Consider the following 22,927-nt stretch of genomic DNA (forward strand, 5'->3'; position numbering starts at 1 on the left):
GATGTGTGATGTAATTTGTTTTGCAATATCCAAGGAAATTTTCATGCTCCATTTGCCTTCGGCCACAAACTAACAGTCAATGCCCCACCCCACCCTCTACAGCAGCAGGAAAAAATAAGTCCAGATCAATGTTGCCCACAAATTTCTCACCTCTGTATATTCCTTGGACAGTCTTCCAATTTCAGGCTCTTTTGCTCCCCTCACCGTGGCCAAGTCTTAGACGGAAATTGGAGCACAGATGGCTTCTCAGGGGTGGCCAGACTTGTGTTCCCAAGACGCCTGGCTCCCTGGTCTTATCCTCTCCTTTCAGGTCGGGTCTCAGATCAGGATTCTTTAAGGGCCAACTTCGCATTCTGGGCAAGTGAATGACACCTAGGGCACACCCTCTTCTCAGCAGCCTGCACTTGATCTCCTTTTAAAGGGGAAATTACATTTCTTGTTAAGACTGAAAGAGGCTGCCGAACTTTGGAGGAAATTACTATGTTGTTCTCAGGACAGCTGGAAGAATTTCTGAAAGAGAAGACCTAGGCAAGGGGCAGAGGGAAGCTTTGCCCTTGCAAACATTTGCTCACAGCCATTGCTTAGAATTAAGGAGCAGGTTCATGCCCATCCTGTCAGCCATATCCTGCAGGGTGGCAGGCATGCTGTAGCCCCTGGTATAGGCCATGGTGCCTGCCACCCTGAAGCTGCCTGTGCTGTACAAGAGCAGCCTTTGCTATGCCAGGAGTCACTGAGTGGCCAGGCCATGAGCCTGTCTTGGGTCAACTCTGTGGGCCTCAATGTCCCTGCTTCTGTTCGTTATTCCCATACAGACATCAATGTGCCTGACTTCCCTGATTACTGTTGCATTGAGATTTTTGATGGGACAAAGTCTTCAAAAGAGGATGGCGAGGCTAGGAAAGGGTTCTCCTATTTGGTAACTGCAACAACTGCTGTGGGTGTCACATATGCTGCCAAGAATGTCATCTCCCAGTTTGTTTCCAGCATCAGTGCTTCTGCTGATGAGTCGGCCGTGTCGAAAATTGCAATCAAGTTATTTGATATTCCAGAAGGCAAGAACATGGCTTTCAAATGGAGAGGCAAATCCCTGTTTGTATGCCACAGAACCAAGAAGGAAATTGACCAAGAACCTGCAGTTGAAGAGTCCCAGCTGAGGGCCCATAGCATGATTTAAGGGCCAGGCACAGTGGCTCATGCCTGTAATTCCAGCACTTTGGAAGGCCGAGGTGGGCAGATCACTTGAGGTCAGGAGCTCAAGACCAGCCTGGCCAACATGGCGAAACCCCATCTCTACTAAAAATACAAAATTAGCCAGGCGTGGTGGCATGTGCCTGTAATCCCAGCTACTCGGGAGGCTGAGGCAGGAAAATCACTTGAACCTGGGAGGCAGAGGTTGCAGTGAGCCGAGATTGCACCATTGCACTCCAGCCTGGGCAACACAGTGAGAATCTGTCTCAAAAAAAAAAAAAAAAAAGAAGAAGAAGAAGAAGTAAAGGATGGGCCGGGAGTGGTGGCTCACACCTGTAATCCAAGCACTTTGGGAGGCCAAGGCGGGTGAATCACTTGAGGTCAGGAGTTCAAGACCAGCCTGGCAAACATGGTGAAACTCCGTCTCTACTAAAAATACAAAAATTAGTCAGGCGTGGTGGTCCATGCCTGTAATCCCAGCTACTCGGGAGAATGAGGCAGGAGAAGTGCTTGAACCTGGGAGGCGGAGGTTGCAGTGAGCCAAGATCGCGCCACTGCACACTCCAGCCTGGGAGAGAGAGTGAGACTCTGTCTGAAAAAAAAAAAAAAAAGATAAAAAAGGAGTAAAGAATGAGTGCAATGCCTATCAGGGTAACCCATTCGAGTTTCTTTACTAGGCGTTTGCATTCATCCTGTTGTACACCTATTGCAAATGAAGATTTTGGTGGTGATTACTGCCCTTGCTGGGGGTCACACAGATGCATCTGGGAGGATCTGGAAGGGGCCTGCCCCTCTTGAGCTTGGAGCTCCCTCATATGGGTTCACCAGTGAGGACACAGTCATTGTTGGTTAGAGACTGGGACTCAAGTTGTAGGCTCCTTTCAGTCTTTGCGTCACTGTAGAAGAGTTATTTGAGAGCAAGCCTTCTGAACTTCAAGTTGCTTGATTTGAAATATTTAAGAAGTGATAATGTATTTGCAAACATTACTGTGAAGTAAATTGAATTTAATGTTGAATACGTTCAAGCATTCACTTAATAAAACAACTGTTAAACACTGTTACACTGTCATACACTTGAAAGGTGCAATGTCTTTTAGGTAGTTCTAATTTTTTACTTTAAAAAAATTTTTTGTTTTTATTTTTTTGAGATGGTGTCTCGCTCTGTCTCCCAGGCTGAAGTGCAGTGGCGTGATCTCGGCTTACTGCAACCTCCGCCTCCCGGGTTCAAGTGATTCTCCTGCCTCAGCCTCCTGAGTAGCTGGGATTACAGGCATACACCACCATGCCTGGCTAATTTTCATACGTTCAGTAGATGAGGAGTTTCACCAGTTGGCCAGGCTGGTCCCAAAATCCTGGCCTCAAGCAATTCACCCACCTCGACCTCCCAAAGTGCTGGGATTACAGGCGTGAGCCACCATGCCTGGCCTAATTCTAATTTAAAACTACACAGTGGTATATAAAAATTAAAAAAAAAATAGACTTAAGGATCAACAGGCTGGTGATCCATTTAAGCACAGGGTTCTTTTTAGATAGTTGTTGAGAAGGACATTTGTGAGCTGAGAACCTGAAAATCGTCCAGTGGCCATGGCAGCATGGGATTGGTAGATTTCTTATCCCTCCATTTGCATGCTGTCTTAGTCTATTCTCCCAGTTCAACCATCACTGACAGTATCTCCTCCACACCCAGGGCTTTACAACCACCTTTTCTACAGTCCAGAGAGGTGGAGATCATTATTTCCATTCGGCAATGAGGGGAACAACTCCATTTCTTTCCTGAGGGCACTCATGATAAAGCATCAAAGTTGGGACTCAAACATGTACACCTTCTGACCTTAGCTATCATTCTTTTGCTCAATCTCATTAAGTGAATATTGAGCATCTAATATGTGCCTTCCACTGTGCTGGAAAAGTCATGATACTGACATGGAAGGTGACACAGAAGCTTCCTTTTAGGTTTGAGCAATGCCGCTTCCATGAGCACCAATCAGCTTTACCACACACAGGGCACGTAGGCACTTAAAAAACAGGGTCTCATCCAAAGCATATTTTGAATTTAATCAGCTCTTTTAGAACTTTACTAACAATGAAAATTTAGAACTGGCCAGATGCGGTGGCTCACACCTGTAATCCCAGCACTTTGGGAGGCCAAGGCGGGCGGATCACTTGAGGCCAGGATTTCGAGACACCAGCCTGGCCAACACAGTGAAACCACGTCTCTACTAGAAGTACAAAAATTAGCCATGCATGGTGGCGGTTGCCTGTAATCCCAGCTACTCAGGAGGCTGAGGCTGGAGATTGCTTGAACCTGGGAGGCCGGAGGTCACAGCGAGCTAAGATTGCACCACTAAACTCCAGCAAGTCCCTGAGACAGAGTGAGGCCCTGTCTCAAAAAAAAAAAAAAAAAAGAAGAAGAAAGAAAAAGAAAATTTAAAATTAAATAAGATACTATTATTTTGTAAATTTTAAAAGCACTAAAAAAAAAAAAAGATAATTATACTTAATTCTATCAGTATAGTTACCATGAAGATAATAACCTACATGGATAAAGTCCATTCAGACAAAACAGTCAGTGGGGCCGGGTGCTCATGCCTGTAACCCCAGCACTTTGAGAGGCTGAGGCGGGAGGATAGCTTGAGCCCAGGAATTCAAGACCAGCCCGGGCAACACAGTGAGACACCCCCTACCCACGGCAACTCTACAAAAAAACTAAAAAATATTAGCTGGGCATGGTGGTACACACCTGTAGTCCCAGCTCGTCAGGAGGCTGAGGTGGGAGGAACATTTGAGCTTGGGAGGCTGAGGCTGCAGTGAGCTGTGATCTCACCGCTGCACTCCAGCCTGGGCAAGAGTGAGACCCTACCTCTCTATATATATATGCAAACATATATATCTTGTTTATCACATATATCATATATGATATATATCTTGTGTATCATATATATAACTTATCGGACTCTTAGGAGTTTGTTAGTGCAGGCACTTAAGAAATGACTAATGACTTTGGTGCCCACAGAGCCAGGGAGTAACGGGCCAGACCTCTTGGTGGTTTTCCTCCCAGCACACCATTTTCTGAACTTGTCGAAGCCTCCAAATCTCTTTCTCCAGTTACTCCAGCATAACGTGCATTGACAGTAAACAAAGTCCTCGATGATGTCATGTTGCCACACTTCATTTCACAGGATTTAGCAACCAGAGAGCCACACCGGGGGCGGCCCTCCCTCCAAACAGAGAACATTATCTCTTCTTCCTCAGTGAAAATTCATGAGAAAGTTCCTAAGCTTGTAATGCTTAGCCCTAGACAACGGAAAAAGGTGTTTGAGGAAGGAGGAAATGAGGAAATACAATATGCATGATCCTTCTCTGGGATTAGTTTGTGTAGCTCTATTGTTCAGCTTTGGCCTATAATTGTCAGTAGTAAATGGTATGGAATAATTTTTTTTTTTTTCCAAGATGGAGTCTTGCTCTGTCACCCAGGCTAGAGTGAGGTGACTTGATCTCGGCTCACTGCAACCTCCACCTCCTGGGTTCAAGCAATTCTCCTGCATCAGCCTCCCAAGTAGCTAGGATTACAGGCACCTGCCACCATGCCCAGATAATTTTTTATTTTTAATAGAGACGGGGTTTCAACATATTGGTCAGGCTGGTCTTGGATTCCCAACCTCAGGTATTCTACCCGCCTCAGCCTCCCAAAGTGCTGGGATTACAGGCGTGAGTCACTGTGCCCAGACTGGTATGGAATAATTTTGAGTAAAAACATCTTTTTTTTTTTTGAGATGGAGTTTTGCTCTTTTGCCCAGGCTGGAGTGAAGTGGTGTGATCTCGGCTCACTGCAACCTCAGCCCCCCGGGGTTCAAGCGATTCTCCTGCCTCAGCCTCCCGAGTAGCTGGGATTACAGGCACCTGCCACCAAGCCCAGCTAATTTTTGTATTTTTAGTAGAGACAGAGTTTCACCATGTTTGCCAGGCTGGTCTCAAACTCCTGACCTTGGGTGATCCACCCGCCTCGGCCTCCCAAAATGCTAAGATTACAGGCGTGAGTCACTGTGCCTGGCCGAATAAAGACATCTTAAGGAAAAAGTGAATGACTCAGATGTTTATTTTCTCAAATACAATATTTAAAATATTGCAAGAAGACATCTGTTTAGCATTCTCCCCTCATTTGTCAATTACTTTATTATTTGAGAATTAATACCCCACATGAAGACAATATCACTTGCCAAAGTCCTTCCTCTGACGTGGTTAAGTCGTATCAAATCCACAGGCTGACGTCCAAATAATACACAGTTTCATGCTTCAGGTGAGCCAAGAACAACCTTCCCATTGAGCGCCTTGCAGGGGCTGATATCAAAGACAAGACTGAACTTCCTTCATTGGCATGGTGACCACCGTGGGAGGTGCAGCCCTCAGCCTACTCCTCGGCTGTGCCATCCAGGATGTGTTTAAAGGAGAATGGAGAAAACTTGTAACCATCCCCGACATAGAACTTGTTCTGGAACTCAACCCTGTTGTTGAGGGGAGGCCGTGGGGTAAGAAATGGGAGATTGAAACACATCAGTTAGAGGCTGGAAGGTGGAGGGAAGGAGGAAGCAGAGCGTTCGTAAAATCAAGCACAAAGTCAGAAGGGTTGGCCACGGCAGGCACCCAGGCTGATGGCTGCCATGAGAATCCTGAGGATTTTTTTTTTTTTTTTTTTTTTGAGACAGAGTCTTGCTCCATCACCCAGGCTGGAGTGCAGTGTCGTGATCTTGGCTCACTATAACCTCCGCCTCTCAGGTTCAAGAGAGATTCTCCTGTCTCAGCCTCCTGAGTAGCTGGGACTATAGGCATATACCACCATGCCTAGCTAATTTATATGTGTGTGTGTGTGTGTGTGTGTGTATAATATATCATATATATTATTATATATAATATTATATATACATCAATATTAATATATTAATATATAATATATTATATATATTATATAATATATTATATATATTATATAATATATTATATTATATAGAATATATTATATAATATATATTATATTATATAGAATATATATTATATTATATATTCTATATAATAATTATATTATAAATATATTTATATTTATTTATATTTATATTTATATTTATAATATATATATTATAATATATATTATATTATATATATATTTATATATATATAAAAATAAATATATTATATATATATATTTTTTGAGACAGAGTTTTGCTCTTGTGGTCCAGGCTGGAGTGCAATAGTGCGATCTCAGCTCACTGCAACCTCTGCCTCCCAGGCTCAAGCAATTCTCCTGCCTCAGCCTTCCGAGTAGCTGGGATTACAGATGCCCACCACCATGCCCAGCTAATTTTTGTATTTTTAGTAAACACCAGGTTTTGCTATGTTGGCCAGGCTGGTCTCGAACTCCTGACCTCAGGTGATCCACACACCTCAGCCTCCCAAAGTGCTGGGATTACAGGTGTAAGCCACTGCATCCAGGCCATGAATCTGAGGATTTTTTAAGCCCTTCTCTCATCTGTCTCTTACCACCTTCCCCTTCCCCTCCCCTTCATTTCCTCCAGGCCTCTCTGCTTGTGGGCTCATGGTCACAGCATAACAACTCTTCCTTCATGGAAGGAGCTTCCCCACCCCCATGACAAGCCAAGACACCCTCACTGTGCAGCACTCTCTCATGTCATTTTCCATTTCCAGCTAATTCTAAAATGTGGGACTCACATATTATAGAACGCAAAGACCCTTGACCTGTATTTTTGTAACTCACATAACTGATACCATGTCGGATGATTTATGTTTTATTTTATTTATTTATTTATTTATTTATTTATTTATTTATTTATTTATTTATTTTGAGACGGAGTCTCGCTCTGTTGCCCAGGCTGGAGTGCAGTGGCTCCATCTCAGCTCACTGCAAGCTCCACCTCCCGGGTTCCAGCCATTCTCCTGCCTCAGCCCCTTGAGTAGCTGGGATTACAGGCATGCGCCACCACCCCAGCTAATTTTGTATTTTCAGTAGAGACGGGGTTTCTCCACGTCGATCAGGTCACAAACTCCTGACCTCAGCTGATCCGCCCGCCTTGGCCTCCCAAAGTGCTGGGATTACAGGCATGAGCCACCGTGCCCAGCCTCATTTATGTTTTATTAATTTACAGAGTTCAGTTCCTCTCCTCAATGACATGGAGGGGAATGACGTCATCATGGAGGCAGGGGATGCTGTGGCTCTCCTCACTCAGTACATGAAGTGCAAAGGCTTCTTTATGAATAGTGGCCATAGAGGGAGGAAGAAAACATCAGGGCAAGCTGGGTACAGTCTCTGCAGCTGAAGGGCATGCACTGCACACTCAGAATTCTTGGTTGAAATGTAACTTGGAAGACAACCAGAGGCCTAAACATGTTTCCATATTCATCAACCTAACGACGGCTGATTGTCACTGGATACATCTGTGCATGTCCAGGGCTCCCGGTGAGCGTCTCCCTCCTGGTGGTACCCTCCTTCTCTTTCCACTTTTGAGATTTTCATACCTTGTTGGTATAACTCCTCTACTCAGCAACAAGAGCCAAACATCCCAGATTCACTGGGCGCAGTGGCTCATGCCTGTAATCCCAGCACTTTGGGAGGCTGAGGCAGATGAATCACTTGAGGCCAGGAGTTTGAGACCAGCCTGGCCAACATAGGGGAACCCCATCTCTACTAAAAATACAAAAATTAGTCAGGTGTGACGGTGCATGCCTGTAATCCCAGCACTTCAGGAGGCTGAGGCGGGTGAATCACTTGAGGCCAAGAGTTCGAGACCAGCCTAGCAAACATGGGGAAACCCCGTCTCTGCCAAAAATACAAAACTTAGCTGGGCGTAGTGGCAGACGCCTGTAATCCCAGCTACTCAGGAGGCTGAGGCAGGAGAATCGCCTGAACCCGGTAGGTGGAGGTTGCAGTGAGCCAAGATTGCACCACTGCATTCCAGCCTGGACAACAGAGTGAGAGCCTGTCTCAAAAAAAAAAAAAAAAAAAAAAAGCCAAATATTCCAGATTTTCTAAGCATGTCTTCTGTGAGCCTATCTCAGATGCCACCTTGCCAATACTTGGAAATGTCACTTGGGTTAAAGCCAATTGTAATAACAAATGAACACTGATCATCTAAAAGGGAAGGAGTAAATGAGAACTAACATATATGAGAGTCTGAATAAGTATGAATGAGTGTGTGTGTATATATGTATATATACATATATATACACATATATTACATCATTTAATATTACACCAACAGATGACTAAACTAAGGCTCCAAAGAGGTATGTAAGCTGCTAAAGTCACATACAGCTCACGATCTGAACCCAGTCGGCTGGCCCCACAGCCCACTCCCTTTCCCAACACCACATTGAGCTTCCAGGGGACAACCATCCTTACCAGTGCAGTCGCAGGGCGTGCAGGAAAGCAGAGAGGCCCTCCATGATCAGAAGGATGGCTACTGTCAGGACAGCAAATACGGCAAAAATAATAAAAACCCCGACGATTCCTCCCCAGCCTCGCGTCTGAAGGCCGCTGTTCATCACCATAGTCCAGAGCACTTCAGACAGTTCTGCAAGGTACGAGAAACCACTGGGATTATCTTGTAAATGCAGATTGTTATTTATTGTATTTTCTCATCTTTTTAATTAAAAATATATATATATTTTAAATAGAGACAGGGTCTCACTCTGTTGCCTAGGATGGTCTCCAACTCCTGGCCTGAAGCAATCCTCCTGTCTCAGCCTCCCAAAGTGCTGGGAAATCAGGCGTGAGCCACCACATCCAGCCCAGATTATTATTATTTTATTATTATTTTTTGAGACAGGTTCTCACTGTGTCACCCAGGCTGGAATGCCATAGTGCAATTATGGCTCATTGCAGCCTTGACCTCACAGGCTCCAGTGATCCTCCCACCTCAGCCTCCTAAGTAGCTGGGACCACAGAAGTGTGCCGCCACTGTCTGTTAATTTTTTTTTTTTTTTCGAGACAGAGTTTCGCTCTTGTCGCCCAGTCTGGAGTGCAATGGCGTGATCTTGGCTCACTGCAACCTCTACCTCCCGAGTTCAAGCAATTCTCCTGCCTCAGCCTCCCGAGTAGCTGGGACTACAGGTGTATGCAACTACACCCAGCTAATTTTTGTATATTTAGTAGAGATGGGGTTTCACCACGTTGGCCAGGGTGGTCTCAATCTCTTGACCTCATAATCCACCCGCCTCGGCCTCCAAAGTGCTGGGATTACAGGCGTAAGCCACCGCGCCCAGCCACAGCCTCTTCTTTGACCAGGAAGTGGTTACATGAGTGTTTGCTTTACAAAAATCCATTAGGCTGAATATATATTTTATGCATTTTTGTAAACATGCTATATTTCAAAGTAAAAATGTTTTTAAAAAGATTGAAATCCTAACCACATTTCAAAAAACGTTTAGCTAATATTTATTCAGTCACTGCAATGTACAAGGGCACATGCCAGGTACTGAGCACAGGAGGTGAATTCAGCCTCACTCGGGAAAGTGGCTCTTTTCACTCTTTGGTGGTCACGGGTCCCCTCTGGAATCTGAAGAAAGTCATGAATCCTTTCCCCAGAAAAATGCACACAGAGACGCCCAACAACATCTTATACGTAGTTTCAGGGGATTTACAGAAAGCCTGAAGTTCAGCCACAGACTCCAAATTAAGAGCCAAGTCAGAGGAATTCGAAGCAGTTTACACATATTATCCCAGTAAGGCCCATATCAACCCTATAAATTAGGTTTTATGATGCCCATCTCATAGATAAGGAAACTAAAGTTCCGAAAAGTTCAGGGGCAAATGCCACACAGCCCCCTCTGGCCTGTTCCTATGACACCACCGTCCCCCCACCCCCACTTCCCTACCCGTTACCTCCTCAGCTGTTTCCCACACCCCCAGCTCTAAAGGTCTTTTCTACACATTTCTTACATGCCCATGGAGTCTCTCAAAGGCTGACAGTCGGGGAATGTTTTAAAAGGCCCTGAGGGGAGTGAAATCCAAGAGGAGGGAGGTCATGGATGGGGATCGGAAAAAACCCGGACTCGTAGCTGAGCCCGTGTCCCCAGCTAACTGCCCTACAAGGGCTCTCACTGTCCAACCTATGCAAGTAAGGGTCCATGCTTAGGTGTCCCTGGTCACAGAGCACGTGTGAATGCTTCTTCCCTAGTTATCATGCCCAACAGCCTGGGATATGCACCTTGCAGGGAAATAGCATCATTACATCCTTGGCTTGAGATTTGAAGGCCCCTGCTAAAAGGTCACAATGATGTAGCCCAGAGAGACACAGGCCTGCCACTTGCAAGCGGCTATCAGAACATGATAAACGCAGAGACATGGAACGCAAGGAAGAGGACCCCTATTTGCTTGCTGCCCCCCAAGATCTGGTTTTCTGCCTGCTACAGTGATGCAGAGTCTTTCATCAATGGGAGCAGCTTCACCCCCGTCGGGTTAGACCCGTACCTGAGATTTACAGTAGAAACTCCAGTGCTTAGCATTCGTGTGATCTTCACAGCTCAGGCTATGTTCATTTCCTTGCACAAACTCACATACGCAGACTTTCACGTGCACACGAATACTCAGATGCACACACTCAGCCCTGCGTGTACCCGCAGCACAGACACCCATGAGCATGTCTTTACTCCTGTGCACTGATGTGCATTCGTGTGAAGTGGCTATCCCATGACTGTCACCCACTTTGTTCCTTTTTTTCCTTTTTCGAGACAGAGTCTCGCTCTGTCACCCAGGCTGGAGTGCAGTGGTGTGATCTCGGCTCACTGTAACTTCCAGCTCCCAGGTTCAAGTTATTCTCCTGCCTCACCCTCCCGAGTAGCTGGGATTACAGGCGTGTGCCACCACACCCAGCTAATTTTATATTTTTAGTAGAGAGGGGGTTTTACCATGTTGGCCAGGCTGGTCTCGAACTCCTGACCTCAGGTAATCCCCCCACCACCTTGGCCTCCCAAAGTGCTGGGATTATAGGTGTGAGCCACCACGCCCAGCCCCACTTTGTTCCTTAAAGTGGATCTCAGCGCTTCAAGTCATCCGTGGTCCTGATGTTGGTCTTCAGCTCCAACCTCAGCAGTAGTTTGAAGGACTTGGGTCATACCAGGGATGGGTCTAAATAAGACAGGAGGAATTTTGGCCAGAGGACACCCCAACACATAGTGCCAAACTCTGGCCTAGGGACCTGAGATTTAGAGGGTAAGTTGTTATTGCAACAGAGTTTAGCCTAACCTGACCAGTGCAGGAGGCTAACTACTAGGACCACTGATGAAAGCCCCGGCACACAAAGGTTAAATTTCTTGTATAAGTTACTCAACCAAAAGTGGTAGAAAAGGAACCAGAATTTAAGTCAGTGTTTTAATTTTTTCCCCATTTTTCCACATTACCTCTTTAAGCAACTGTGTTAGTATGGACTGGAAGCCACGTCTAGCAGGGACTTCTAGAATGACCCAGTGGGTGAATCAGGGCAGGCAGCCATGAACCATATGGGTTTTTAGGAATCAAATGACCCCCTCAGTGTGTGTATGGGCTGGCCAGAGGACACCCCGACACATAGGGCCAAGAATACCAAAACTCCTCCTCCTGTCTTATCTAGACTCAGCCCTATTATGACTCAAGTCCTCCAACTACTGCTGGGGTTAGAGCTGAAGACCAACATTACCACCACTGACTGCACGAAGCGCTGAGATCCACTCTAAGGAACAAGTAGGTGACAGTCCTGGGACAGCCACTTCACATGAATGCACAGCAGTGCACAGGAGTAAAGACATGCGGCCGGGCGCGGTGGCTCACGCCTGTAATTCCAGCATTTTGGGAGGCCGAGGCGGGCAGATCACGAGGTCAAGAGATCGAGACCATCCTGGCCATCATGGTGAAACCCCGTCTCTACTGAAAATACAAAAATTAAAAAAAAAAAAAATTAGCTGGGCATGGTGGTGTGCACCTGTAGTCCCAGCTACTCAGGAGGCTGAGGCAGAAGAATTGCTTGAACCTGGGAGGCGGAGGTTGCAGTGAGCCGAGATCACGCCACGGCACTCCAGCCTGAAAAAAAAAAAAAAAAAAAGATATGCTTATGGGTGTCTGTGCTGCAGCCACTTGCAGGGCTGAGTGTGTGCATCAGCGTTCATGTGCATGTGAAAGTGTGTGTATGTGAGTTTGTGGGAGGAAATGAACACAGCTGAGCTGTGAAGATCACACGAATGCTGAGTACTGGAGTTTCGTTTCTATCCCTTCAGCACACACCTTGGCCTGGCTTCTCTGTTCTAGGCATTATGCTCAGTGCCAGGAATGCTAAGATAAAAGTCAGGTTCTTTGCTTTCAAGGAGCTCATAGTCCAGTAGGAAGACAGGCTAATCAAGACAATTATAATTGAAGCTAGGTTAAGAGCATGCCCCAGAACCACAGGAAGGCATCTTCCAGACTGGGGGACTAGGAAAGAAGATTTCCAGCTGAGTTATGAAGGACGAATTAAATATCAGATAGAGAGAGAATTAAAGAAGGGACTATTTCAGGCAAGGGGGCTGCAGGGGCAAACACACAGAGGGGCCCAGGGAGTACTGCGTCTTCAGGAGATAGTTCTTCAGGCCAGGCACAATGGCTCACACCTGTAATCCCAGCACTTTGGGAGGCCAAGGCAGGAGGACTGTTTGAGCCCAGAAGTTCAAGACAAGCCTGGGCAACATGGCAAAACCCTGTCTCTACCAAAAAAAAAAAAAAGTTCGCCAAGTATGTTGGTGTGTGCCTATAGTCCCTGCTACTTGGGAGGCCAAGACAGGAGAACTGCTTGAGCCCAAGAGTTTGAGGCTAGCCTAGGCAAAAAGGCAAAACCCTACCTCTACCAAAAAAAAAAAAAAAAAAAATTGGCCCAGGCATGGTGGCATGCACCTGTGGTCCCAGCTACTTGGGAAGCTGAGGCGGTAGAATGACATGAGCCTGGGAGTTCGAGGCCGTGATAGCGCCACTGCACTCCATCCTGGGCAACAGAGGGAGACCCTGTCTTAGGAAAAAAAAAAAAAACGCTCCTCAGGGCCACTGCATATGAAACGGATGGGTCTGGAGTGCTGGGGCACTAAGGAAAACTGACAAGAAACAAGACTGGAGAAGGACCCAGAGATCAAGATGGGGCTTACAAGTGAGTTGGTGAGTCATGATTCCTGACGTTAGGCAACCCCAGGGGCTCGGATCTTTATCAAAACTGTATTTCCAATGCCTGAAATCCCAGCACTTTGGGAGGCTGAGGCAAGAGGATCCCTTGAGGCCAGGAGTGTGAGATCAGCCTGGGCAACATAGTGAGACCTTGTCTCTTTTAGATAGATAGATAGATAGACAGACAGACAGACAGACAGACAGGCAGATGATAGATAGATAGATACAATTGTATTTCTGGGCCTGGCCTGACTGATCCTGGACTGCTGTGAATTCACAAAGGTGGTGAGCACTTCCTGAGGGTCAGCTCAGCAGGCAGCCAACTGACTCCCCGCAATGCTCATAACCAAGGCAGGCGTTCTCTTAAAGGTCAGCACCTTGCAGAAGGGCATGGTAGCCTGAAAAAATATGTTCCCCCATCCCCAAAGATGTCTACATCCTAATTCTAATCCTAATAACCTGTCAACATACTATATTACATGGCAACAGTGGCTTTGCAGATGAGATTAAGCCAAGAATCCTGACAGAGGGGCATTATCCCGGATTATCTGGATATGCCCAATGTCATCACTAGAGTCTTTGTAAGAGGAAGGCAGGAGAGTCACAGTCAGAGAAAAAGGAGATTTGATGCTGGAAGCAGAGGTTGAAGTGATGCAAAGAGGAGCCGCAAGCCACAGAATGCAGGCAGCCTCAAGAGGCTGGAAAGGCCAGGAAACAAATTCTACCTGCAGCCTGCAGCAGGAGCACGGCTGCCCACGCCTTGATTTTAGGACTCTGGCTTCAAAAACTGGAAGACACCAAATTTGTGTTGTTGGGTTTTTTGTTTGTCTGTTTGTTTGAGACGGAGTCTCACTCTGTAGCCCAGGGTGGAGTGCAGTGATGTGATCTCGGCTCACTGCGACCTCTGCCTTCCGGGTTCAAGCAATTCTCCTGCTTCAGTCTCCGAGTAGCTAGAGTTACAGGCACCCGCCACCATGCCCAGCTAATTTTTGTATTTTCAGTAGAGACGGGTTTCACCATGTTGGCCAGGCTGATCTTGAACTCCTGGGCTCAAACAATTCGCCCAAACTCTGCCTCCCAAAGCTCTGGGATTACAGGTGTGAGCCACCGTGCCCGGCCAAATTTGTGTTGTTTTAAGCCACGAGTGTTTGTGACAATTTGTTACAGCAGCAGTAGGAGACTATTAATATAGAGGGTGACCACCCCAGCAACGTGCAGCCAGACCCACAGAAAAGGCACCTGTGCCTGGGAAAGAAGAGTCATTCTTTTGGCAAACATCCACAAATAGCTCGGAGAAGTCACCTTTACTTCCAAATACATGGCACCTATTTCCTGGGGTGTTGGGGAGAGCTGACTGTCCCCCCGATGGGCTGCTCACTCACGTGCATGAGCCAGGCTGAGGGCCCAGAGCCGCAGGTAGGAGGCTGTGTTTGAAATGCAGCCCAGGCAGTACTCGATGGTGTGGATGGCTTGGTGGACAAAGACGTCTCCAAAGTTGAACTGAAAGACGGAATTGTTTATTTTACTTCATTGAGAATTTTCTACACAAAAGTTATTCCAAATGATGCAAAGATGAATAAGACATGGGCTTTGCTGTTCAGACACTTTCAGTCTAACTAGGGGAAAAGAAATAGTAATAGACTTAGAGAAAGAATTATCAGCACAAAGTCGTATGTTATGTGTGTCTTAACGTTCCCCAGCAATAGCTGAAAAAAAGCTCAAAGATGACAAATGGGTGGTAAGGGGAGATGAGATTTGTGCTGTGCCAGGAAGGCTGGGTAGGAATGTGACTTGAAGGACAAGAAATTGTTCCTGAGGAGCAAAAGGATCCCTGGTTGGGAAAGAAACAGGTAGCTGGGAATATCACCTAGTCAAGTCGGAAAGAAAACAATTTGGCTGGAACTGGGAGCTTGTTTAGGTGAGGAATAGAAGACAGTCCTCCTGTGTGGAAGTTTCTAGAAAGGCAAGCTATGGGTAAAGTTGAAGAAACAACCTGGATTCAGTGAGGAGCCATAGAGGCAGGTTACTCTGGTAGCATCATAGTTTAGAGAAGGGACAGCCTTAAAGAAAAAAAAAAAAGGACAATTTGGTTATGAGCTCAGTAACACAGGAAAGAAGTAAATAACAGAACGAAGAAGACAGCCATAGCTCATTCTCCCCTCATGCTCTCTGATGTGACAGACAATTTTTTTTTGGGGGGGGGGGAGGGTCTTGCTCTGTCACTCAGGCTGGAATGCAGTAGCACAATCATAGCTCACTGCAGCCTTGACCTCCCAGGTTCAGGTGATCCTCCCATCTCAGCCTACCGAGTAGCTGGGACTACAGGCATGCATCACCATACCTGGCTAATTTTTGTATTTTTTGTAGAGATGGGGTTTCACCATGTTGCCCAGGCTGGTCTGGAACTCCTGGCCTTAAGCAATCTGCCTGCCTCAGCCTCCCAAAGTGCTGGGATTACAGGTGTGAGCCACTGTGCCTGGCCATGGGGGACAATTGACTGGTGCTGTACATGCCCTCAAGTTGCTCACAGCCTAGTCAGGAGAATATGTAGAAGGGTTCCCATGCCACACTCTGGGAAGCGCAATGACCAGGGCATGCAGTGGTATCGTGGGAACACAGAGAAGGCCCCTTACCCACTCAGGGCCAGGGCAGCCAGGGCTCTGAGGCTCCTAAGCCCAAGTAGCTGGAAGAATGACATTGACAGAGGAGGTGGGCAGTTGGCTCTCCACATGCTGAGTTTCAGATGGCAGTGGGCCTTATCAGTAGACACTCTGCACATGGGAGCTCAGGTGGAACTACCGAAGCCCCGAAGAAAAGTCCCGGCTGGAAACGGACTCCTGAGACTGCATCTGCAGGAGGATGGAGGAGATCAACAAGGGAAAGATCAAGGAAAGAGGAGATCACGCCTGTAATCCCAGCACCTCGGGAGACCAAGGCAGGTGGATCACAAGGTCAAGAGATCGAGACCATCCTGGCGAACACGGTGAAACCTCGTCTCTACTAAAAATTAAAAAATTAACTGGGTGTGGTGGCGTGCACCTGTAATCCAGCTACTCAGGAGGCTGAGGCAGGAGAATCGCTTGAACCTGTGAGGTGGAGGTTGCAGTGAGCCGAGATCTCGCCACTGCACTCCAGCCTGGCAACAGAGTGAGACTCTGTCTAAAAAAAGAAAAAGAAAAAGAAAAGAAAAGAAAGAGGCGCTCCCAGCCTTGGGAAACATCTTCATTCAGAGATAACAAAACAAGGCCGGGCACGGTGGCTCATGCCTGTAATCCCAGCACTTTGGGAGGCCAAGGCAGGTGGGTGACTTGAAGTCAGGAGTTTGAGACCAGCCTGGCCAACATGGTGAGACCCTACCTCTACTAAAAACACAAAAATTAGACAGGGGTGGTGGCGCATGCCTGTAGTCCCAGCTACTTGGGAGGCTGAGGCAGGAGAATCGCTTGAACCCGGGAGGCGGAGGTTGCAGTGAGCTGAGATCTTGCCACTGCACTGCAGCCTGGGCGACACAGTGAGACTCTGTCTCGGAAAAAAAAAAAAAAAAAAAAAGAGTGAGATGAGATAACAAAACAAGAAACTGATGAGGAAAAGAAAAGATCAAAGAAGCTAGAGCAGTCACGCTGCAGTCACAGATGTCTGCGGAGGGAGACGTCCAGGAAGGAGTGGGGGGGTACAGTCACGGGTGTCTGTGGAGGGAGACGTCCAGGAAGGAATGGGGGGCGGGGGTGCAGTCACGGATGTCTGCAGAGGGAGACGTCCAGGAAGGAAGGGGGGATGCAGTCACGGATGTCTGTGGAGGGAGACGTCCAGGAAGGAATGGGTGTGTGTGTGTGTGTGTGTGTGTGTGTGCGCGCAGTTATGGATGTCTGCGGAGGGAGACGTCCAGGAAGGAATGGCGGTGTGTGTGTGTGTGTGTGTGTGTGTGTGTGTGTGTGTGTGCAGTTATGGATGTCTGCGGAGGGAGACGTCCAGGAAGGAAGGGGGGAATGCAGTCACGGATGTCTGTGGAGGGAGACGTCCAGGAAGGAAGGGGGGGCGTGCAGTCACGGATGTCTGCGGAGGGAGACATCCAGGAAGGAATGGGGGGGATGGCGGGGAGGGTGCAGTCACGGAGGTCTGCGGAGGGAGACGTCCAGGAAGGAATGGGGCGGGTGGTGCAGTCACCGATGTCTGCGGAGGGAGACATCCGGAGAGGCATGGGGCGGAATGGGGAGGAATGGGGAGGAATGGGGAGGAATGGGGAGGTGCCGCCACGGATGTCTGCGGAGGGAGACGTCCAGGAAGGAATTCGGGGCGGGGGGGGGGGGTGCAGTCACGGATGTCTGCGGAGGGAGACGTCCAGGAAGGAATGGCGGTGCAGTCACTGATGTCAGAGGTTATGGGGACAAGATAAAAATGAGAACCTCAATTTAGCAATGAAAGCAGCTGTGAGGAATTGAAGGGACAGGGATGGGCAGAGATGGAGTGAGCAGGTAGAAAGAGTCAAGGTAAAGAAGAACTGCATAAGAAAGAATTCATCTTGGCCAGGTGTGGTGGCTCATGCCTGTAATCCCAGCACTTTGGAAGGCCGAGGCATGAGGATCACTTGAGCCAAGGAGTTCAGAACCAACCCGAGCAACAAAGTGAGACCCCATCTTTACCAAAAATTCAAAAAATTAGGCAGGTGTGGTGGCATGCACCTGCGGTCCCAGCTACTCGGGAGGCTGAGGCAGGAAGATCGCTTGGGCTCAGGAGGTCAAGGCTGCTGTGAGCCATGATTGTGCCACTGCATGCCAGCCTCAGCAATAGAACAAGACCCTGTCTCAAAATAGTAATTATAATAATCATAATTAACCTTACCGAACAGGACTGGCTTTGTCTTGGCTCCTGGGAGGTAACCTCTAAACCACTGGCATTTCCCACGTGAAAGGGTCTTTGTTATTCATGCTGGGCCCCTGGGACCACACCTGATCGTTTATGCGAATGCAGTGGCTTAAGTTGGGCACCTTATAGTTGAAGTGGGGTCTGGCCACACCAGAAAGACCAACCACATGCTTAGAGAGTTGGGAATGATCTGCAAGGTGGGAGAGAGCTGGGGACTCTGCAGCAACTGCTGGGGCTGCATCCACCAATCAATCATCAGTCAATCAATCAGTCAATCCTGCCTGCATGAGGAAACTCCAGTAAAACTTTGGACACTGAAGCTTGGGTGACCGGCCTAGGCTGGCGATTCTCTGCACATCTTGCCACACATCAATGTGGGGACAGTAATGTGCCTCCAAGGACACAGCTCCTCATTTGGAACTCACTGTCCCAGATACTGCCCTATCCTCTCTGCCTGTCTGATTTAAATTCTTTTGCTACAAAAGCTGTAAGTGGACAGGCACGGTGGCTCACGCCTGTAATCTCAGCACTTTGGGAGGCCGAGGTAGGCGGATCACCTGAGGTCAGGAGTTAAAGGCCAGCCTGGCCAACAGGGTGAAATCCCATCTCTACAAAAATACACACAAAAAAATTAGCCAGGCATGGTGGTGGGTGCCTGTAATCCCAGCTACTCGGGAGGCTGAGGCGGGAGAATTGCTTGAACCTGGGAGGCAAAGGTTGCAGTGAGCTGAGATCGCACCATTGCACTCCAGCCTGGGCAATAGGGCAAGACTCTGTCTCAAAAAAAAAAAACAAAAACAACTGTCAGCATAGCACTTTCCGGAGTTCTGTGAGTCATTTTGGCCCCAAAGGACCCTAAGGGTCCTGCGAATGTATAGTCAGCTTGCCTGAAGTGAGGGTGGCCCTGGGAACCCCCAAACTTGCGGCTGGGATCAGTCTTGGGCAGATGTGACAGTCAAGGACTGCACCCTTAACCTTGAGTTTGGCTAACCCTACCGTGGAGAGAAGCAAGCAAGGAACTTGAAAGAGAAACAGGGGGAGGCACACATTTGCCTGGAGACGGGAGACCCATGTATGATTAGACCTGGGGGAAAGAGGTCCATGAATGGTGACTAAAGTTGCCCAAGCAAGGGCAGCCTGCTCATGTTGGAGGTGGCAGGTGGAAATTGTCTGGATATAGATTGAGGGCAGGAGGAGAAGAGATGAGGGAGGTTGCCCTGGACAGGCCAGGACTTGAGGAGTCAGAACATGCGTGGGTTGGATTCTAAAACATTCCAGCAAGTCTGACAGACTTGGTAATGTCAACAGCCACTACTGTGGATCACTCTGTACCTAGAATTTTCTTGGGAAGAATTTTCACGATTGAGATTTTTCATTAATTCTAATTAATCAAGATAATTTTTTTTTTTTCCAGACAGTCTTGCTCTGTCGCCCAGGCTGGGAGTACAGTGGCATGATCTCAGCTCATTGCAACCTCTGCCTCCCAGGTTCAAGTGATTCTCCTGCCTCAGCCTCCCCAGTAGCTGGGATTATAGGTGCTCACCACCATGCCTGGCTAATTTTTGTATATTTAGTAGAGACAGGGTTTCACCATGTTGACCAGGCTGGTGTTGGACTCCTAACCTCAAGTGATCCGCCCGCCTTGGCCTCCCAAAGTGCTGGGATTACAGGTATGAGCCACCACACATGGCTATCAAGAGAAAACTTTTTAAAATAAGCAATTAACACCACAAATGGAGCCATTTATAGCATCTGTGGCCCTCATGGAAACCCAGTTCCCACTCCCAAATTAGAACAGAGCTCCGGTTAAAGCCTCCAGCTTGGGATTCACAAATGTGGCTGACTTCAGTCAACACATGGAACAGACAGCTGCTTTCATCTGGGAGGATGTGGCACGGGCTCCTGAGGGGCAGTGGCTGTCCTTGCACAGGCAGGGGCAGGGAGGGATGAGGGAACAAAACAATTTATGAATTCACATGAGAGGCAGATAACATTATAAAGAGATCATAGGGGGCCAGGCACGGTGGCTCATGCCTGTAATCCCAGCACTTTGGGAGGCCGAGGCAGGCAGATCACCTGAGGTCAGGAGTTCAAGATCAGCCTGGCCAACATGGTGAAGCCCCATCTCTACTAAAAACACAAAAATTAACCGGGTGCAGTGGCGGATGCCTATAATCCCAGGTATTAGAGAGGCTGAGGCAGGAGAATCACTTGAGCCTGGGAGGCGGAGGTTGCAGTGAGCCGAAATTGGCTCACTCCAGCCTGGGCAACAGAGTGAGACTCTATCTCAAAAACAAACAAAAAAGAGAGCTTATAGGGGCGTGGTGCTGAGCCAAGGAGTCCTCAGTGACACGCAGGACCTTCTATGTCACTAGATCCGAGGCTGATATTCACCTGACACATACAGATGCAGCGGTACTTGGACTAGAAATATTAAAATGTGCCCAGATTGGTTGCTAAATAGCTGTTCTGATCCTCTTAGACTAGCTAGTAGGTCCCCTTCCCTGAGACCTTCACAGCTTCCCAGGACTCAGCAGTGACAGGGCTACTGCCCCGTGGGGCCCTCCAGACCCACCCAGCTCTACTGCCTATGTCCATTCTAGAATTTGTACAAACTGGGGAGTCTTCCTCAGGGGCTCTCGTCCCAGATACCTCTTCTCCATGGTCGTCCAGAGCCCCGTGGGTATCTGCAGAAGTCCTCTGGCCAGAACGGCTAGAAGGGCTGGAGCTATCACCTTCAATGTTCTCAGTGGCATCTTCTTGGATCCTGGATGCCTGCAGCTGACAACAAGCAGGGAAATGAGGAATGCGCTCAACTCACCCTGAGAATTCTAACACATATAAATATAAATAAAGGCTCTCCTCAAATACTACCTATGTACCAGACACTGTTCTAAACACTACACTATCTCATTAAGCCCTCACAACAACCATTTTATATAAGCACAATTATCACCCTATTTTCTAGAGAAGTAAGCTGCAGCACAGAAAGGTTAAGAAATGTGCCCGGGAGGCACAGCTTGTAGTGAGCGGACATTGTGCCACTACACTCTAGCCTGGGCGACAGAGAGAGACTCCGTCTCAAAAAAATAAATAAATAAAATAAAATAAAAATAAAAAAAGAAAAGAAATGTGCCCAGCTGCGTGTGGTGACTCACGCCTGTAATCCCAGCATTTCGGGAGGCGGAGGCTGGCAGATCACTTGAGGTCAGGAGTCCAAGACTAGCGTGGCCAACATGGTGAAAACCCATCTCTACTAAAAATACAAAAATTAGGCCAGGCACCGTGGCTCACCTGGGGTCAGGAGTTCGAGACCAGCCTGGCACCCCGTCTCTATTAAAAATACAAAAAATAGCTGGGCGTGGTGGTGCATGCCTGTAATCCCAGCTACCCGGGAGGCTGAGGCAGGAGAGTCATTGGAACTCAGGAGGTGGAGGCTGCGGTGAGCCAAGATCACGCCACTGCACTCCAGCCTGGGCGACAGAGTGAGACTCCATCTCAAAAAAAAAAAAAAAAAAAAAAAAAAGTTAAAGGCCAGGCACAGTGGCTCATGCCTATAATCCCAGTGCTGTGGGAGGCCAAGTTGAGAGGATTGCCTGAGGCCAAGAGTTCAAGACCAGCCTGGTCAACATAGCGAGATTCCATCTCCATAAAAATACAAAAATTAGTTGGGCATGGTAGCACATGCCTGTAATCCCAGCTACTCGGGAGGCTGAGGAAGGAGAATTGCTTGAATCTGGGAGGCAGAGGTTGCAGTGAGCCAAGATTGTGCCACTGCACTCCAGCCTGGGGGACAGAGTGAGACTGTCTCAAAAAAAAAAAAAAAAAGAAAAATATGTGCCCAAGATCATACAGCTGGCAAGGCTGGTAAGTGGCAGAGCCATAATTCAAACTCAGTTGCCTGACTCCAGTGCATGTGCTTTTTCTCCACAATGCTCCAGAATGTGCCAAATTATAGTCTTGACACTAAAGCAATGCAAGTACAAAAGTGCCTTTCCATTGTTAAAAGAAATACACATGGTCATAAATCATCAGTCGTACCTTCCATGTAGCCTTGTGAAATTAACTATAAAAATAGCTTAGGAAAAATTCAAGGAAAAAAAAATCTAGGCATAGTCACCATTCAACTTGGTCTGGTTTTACCCCTAAGTGTGAATGGTATATTTCTTTCAAGTCACCATGAAGCTTAATGTCCCATGTCCAAAGTTTTTCTAGAATGATTTCATGGGAGGGGTATTGCAAATTAGGCATCAACGTATCTGGACCCTTCTTTCTTTTCTTTTTTTTTTTTTTTTTTTTGAGAAGGAATTTTGCTCCTTCGCCCAGGCTGGAGTGAAGTGGTACAATCTCGGTTCACTGCAACCTCTGTCCCCCAGTTCAAGAGATTCTCCAGCCTCAGCTCTCCTGAGTACCCAGGATTATAAGCACCCACCACCACGCCCAGCTAATTTTTGTATTTTTAATAGAGACGGGGTTTCTCCATGCTGGCCAGGGTGATCTCGAACTCCTGACCTCAGGTGATCCACCTGCCTCGGCCTCCCAAAGTGCTACGATTACAGGCGTGAGCCACCACACCCAGCCAGGGCCCTCCTTTCTTTAGCAGGTCTGCACTTAACATTTGCAGGGCTCTGGGCAAGAGCAAAGACAGTAGTTCACATGCCATAGGTTGAAATATTTAAAAGTTATACATCAAGCCAACAAATTCCTAAA

At 47.5% G+C, this 22,927-nt stretch overlaps 2 protein-coding genes and 1 pseudogene across 4 annotated transcripts in view; 1 reads left to right on the forward strand and 2 right to left on the reverse strand.

The window, feature by feature from the left end:
- SVOPL (SVOP like) overlaps nt 1-335 on the reverse strand; it is a 107,078-nt gene extending 106,743 nt beyond the window's left edge. The window contains exon 1 of the mRNA NM_001139456.2: nt 151-335. The gene's annotated coding sequence lies outside the window, so the exon portion shown is untranslated. The remainder of the gene's footprint in view (nt 1-150) is intronic.
- UQCRFS1P2 (ubiquinol-cytochrome c reductase, Rieske iron-sulfur polypeptide 1 pseudogene 2) lies at nt 599-1,173 on the forward strand (annotated as a pseudogene).
- The window catches only part of ATP6V0A4 (ATPase H+ transporting V0 subunit a4), a 91,903-nt gene continuing 74,242 nt past the window's right edge, over nt 5,267-22,927 (reverse strand). For all 3 annotated transcript variants that reach the window (NM_130840.3, NM_020632.3, NM_130841.3), the window contains 4 exons: nt 20,870-20,998; nt 14,737-14,854; nt 8,597-8,768; nt 5,267-5,690 (listed from right to left, as the gene is read on the reverse strand). In NM_130840.3, the coding sequence (NP_570855.2) occupies nt 5,597-5,690; nt 8,597-8,768; nt 14,737-14,854; nt 20,870-20,998 (513 nt within the window). In that variant the 3' untranslated portion in view covers nt 5,267-5,596. The remainder of the gene's footprint in view (nt 5,691-8,596; nt 8,769-14,736; nt 14,855-20,869; nt 20,999-22,927) is intronic.

This window comes from Homo sapiens, chromosome 7, assembly GCF_000001405.40.
Source record: "Homo sapiens chromosome 7, GRCh38.p14 Primary Assembly".
Classification (NCBI taxonomy): Eukaryota; Metazoa; Chordata; class Mammalia; order Primates; family Hominidae; genus Homo; species Homo sapiens.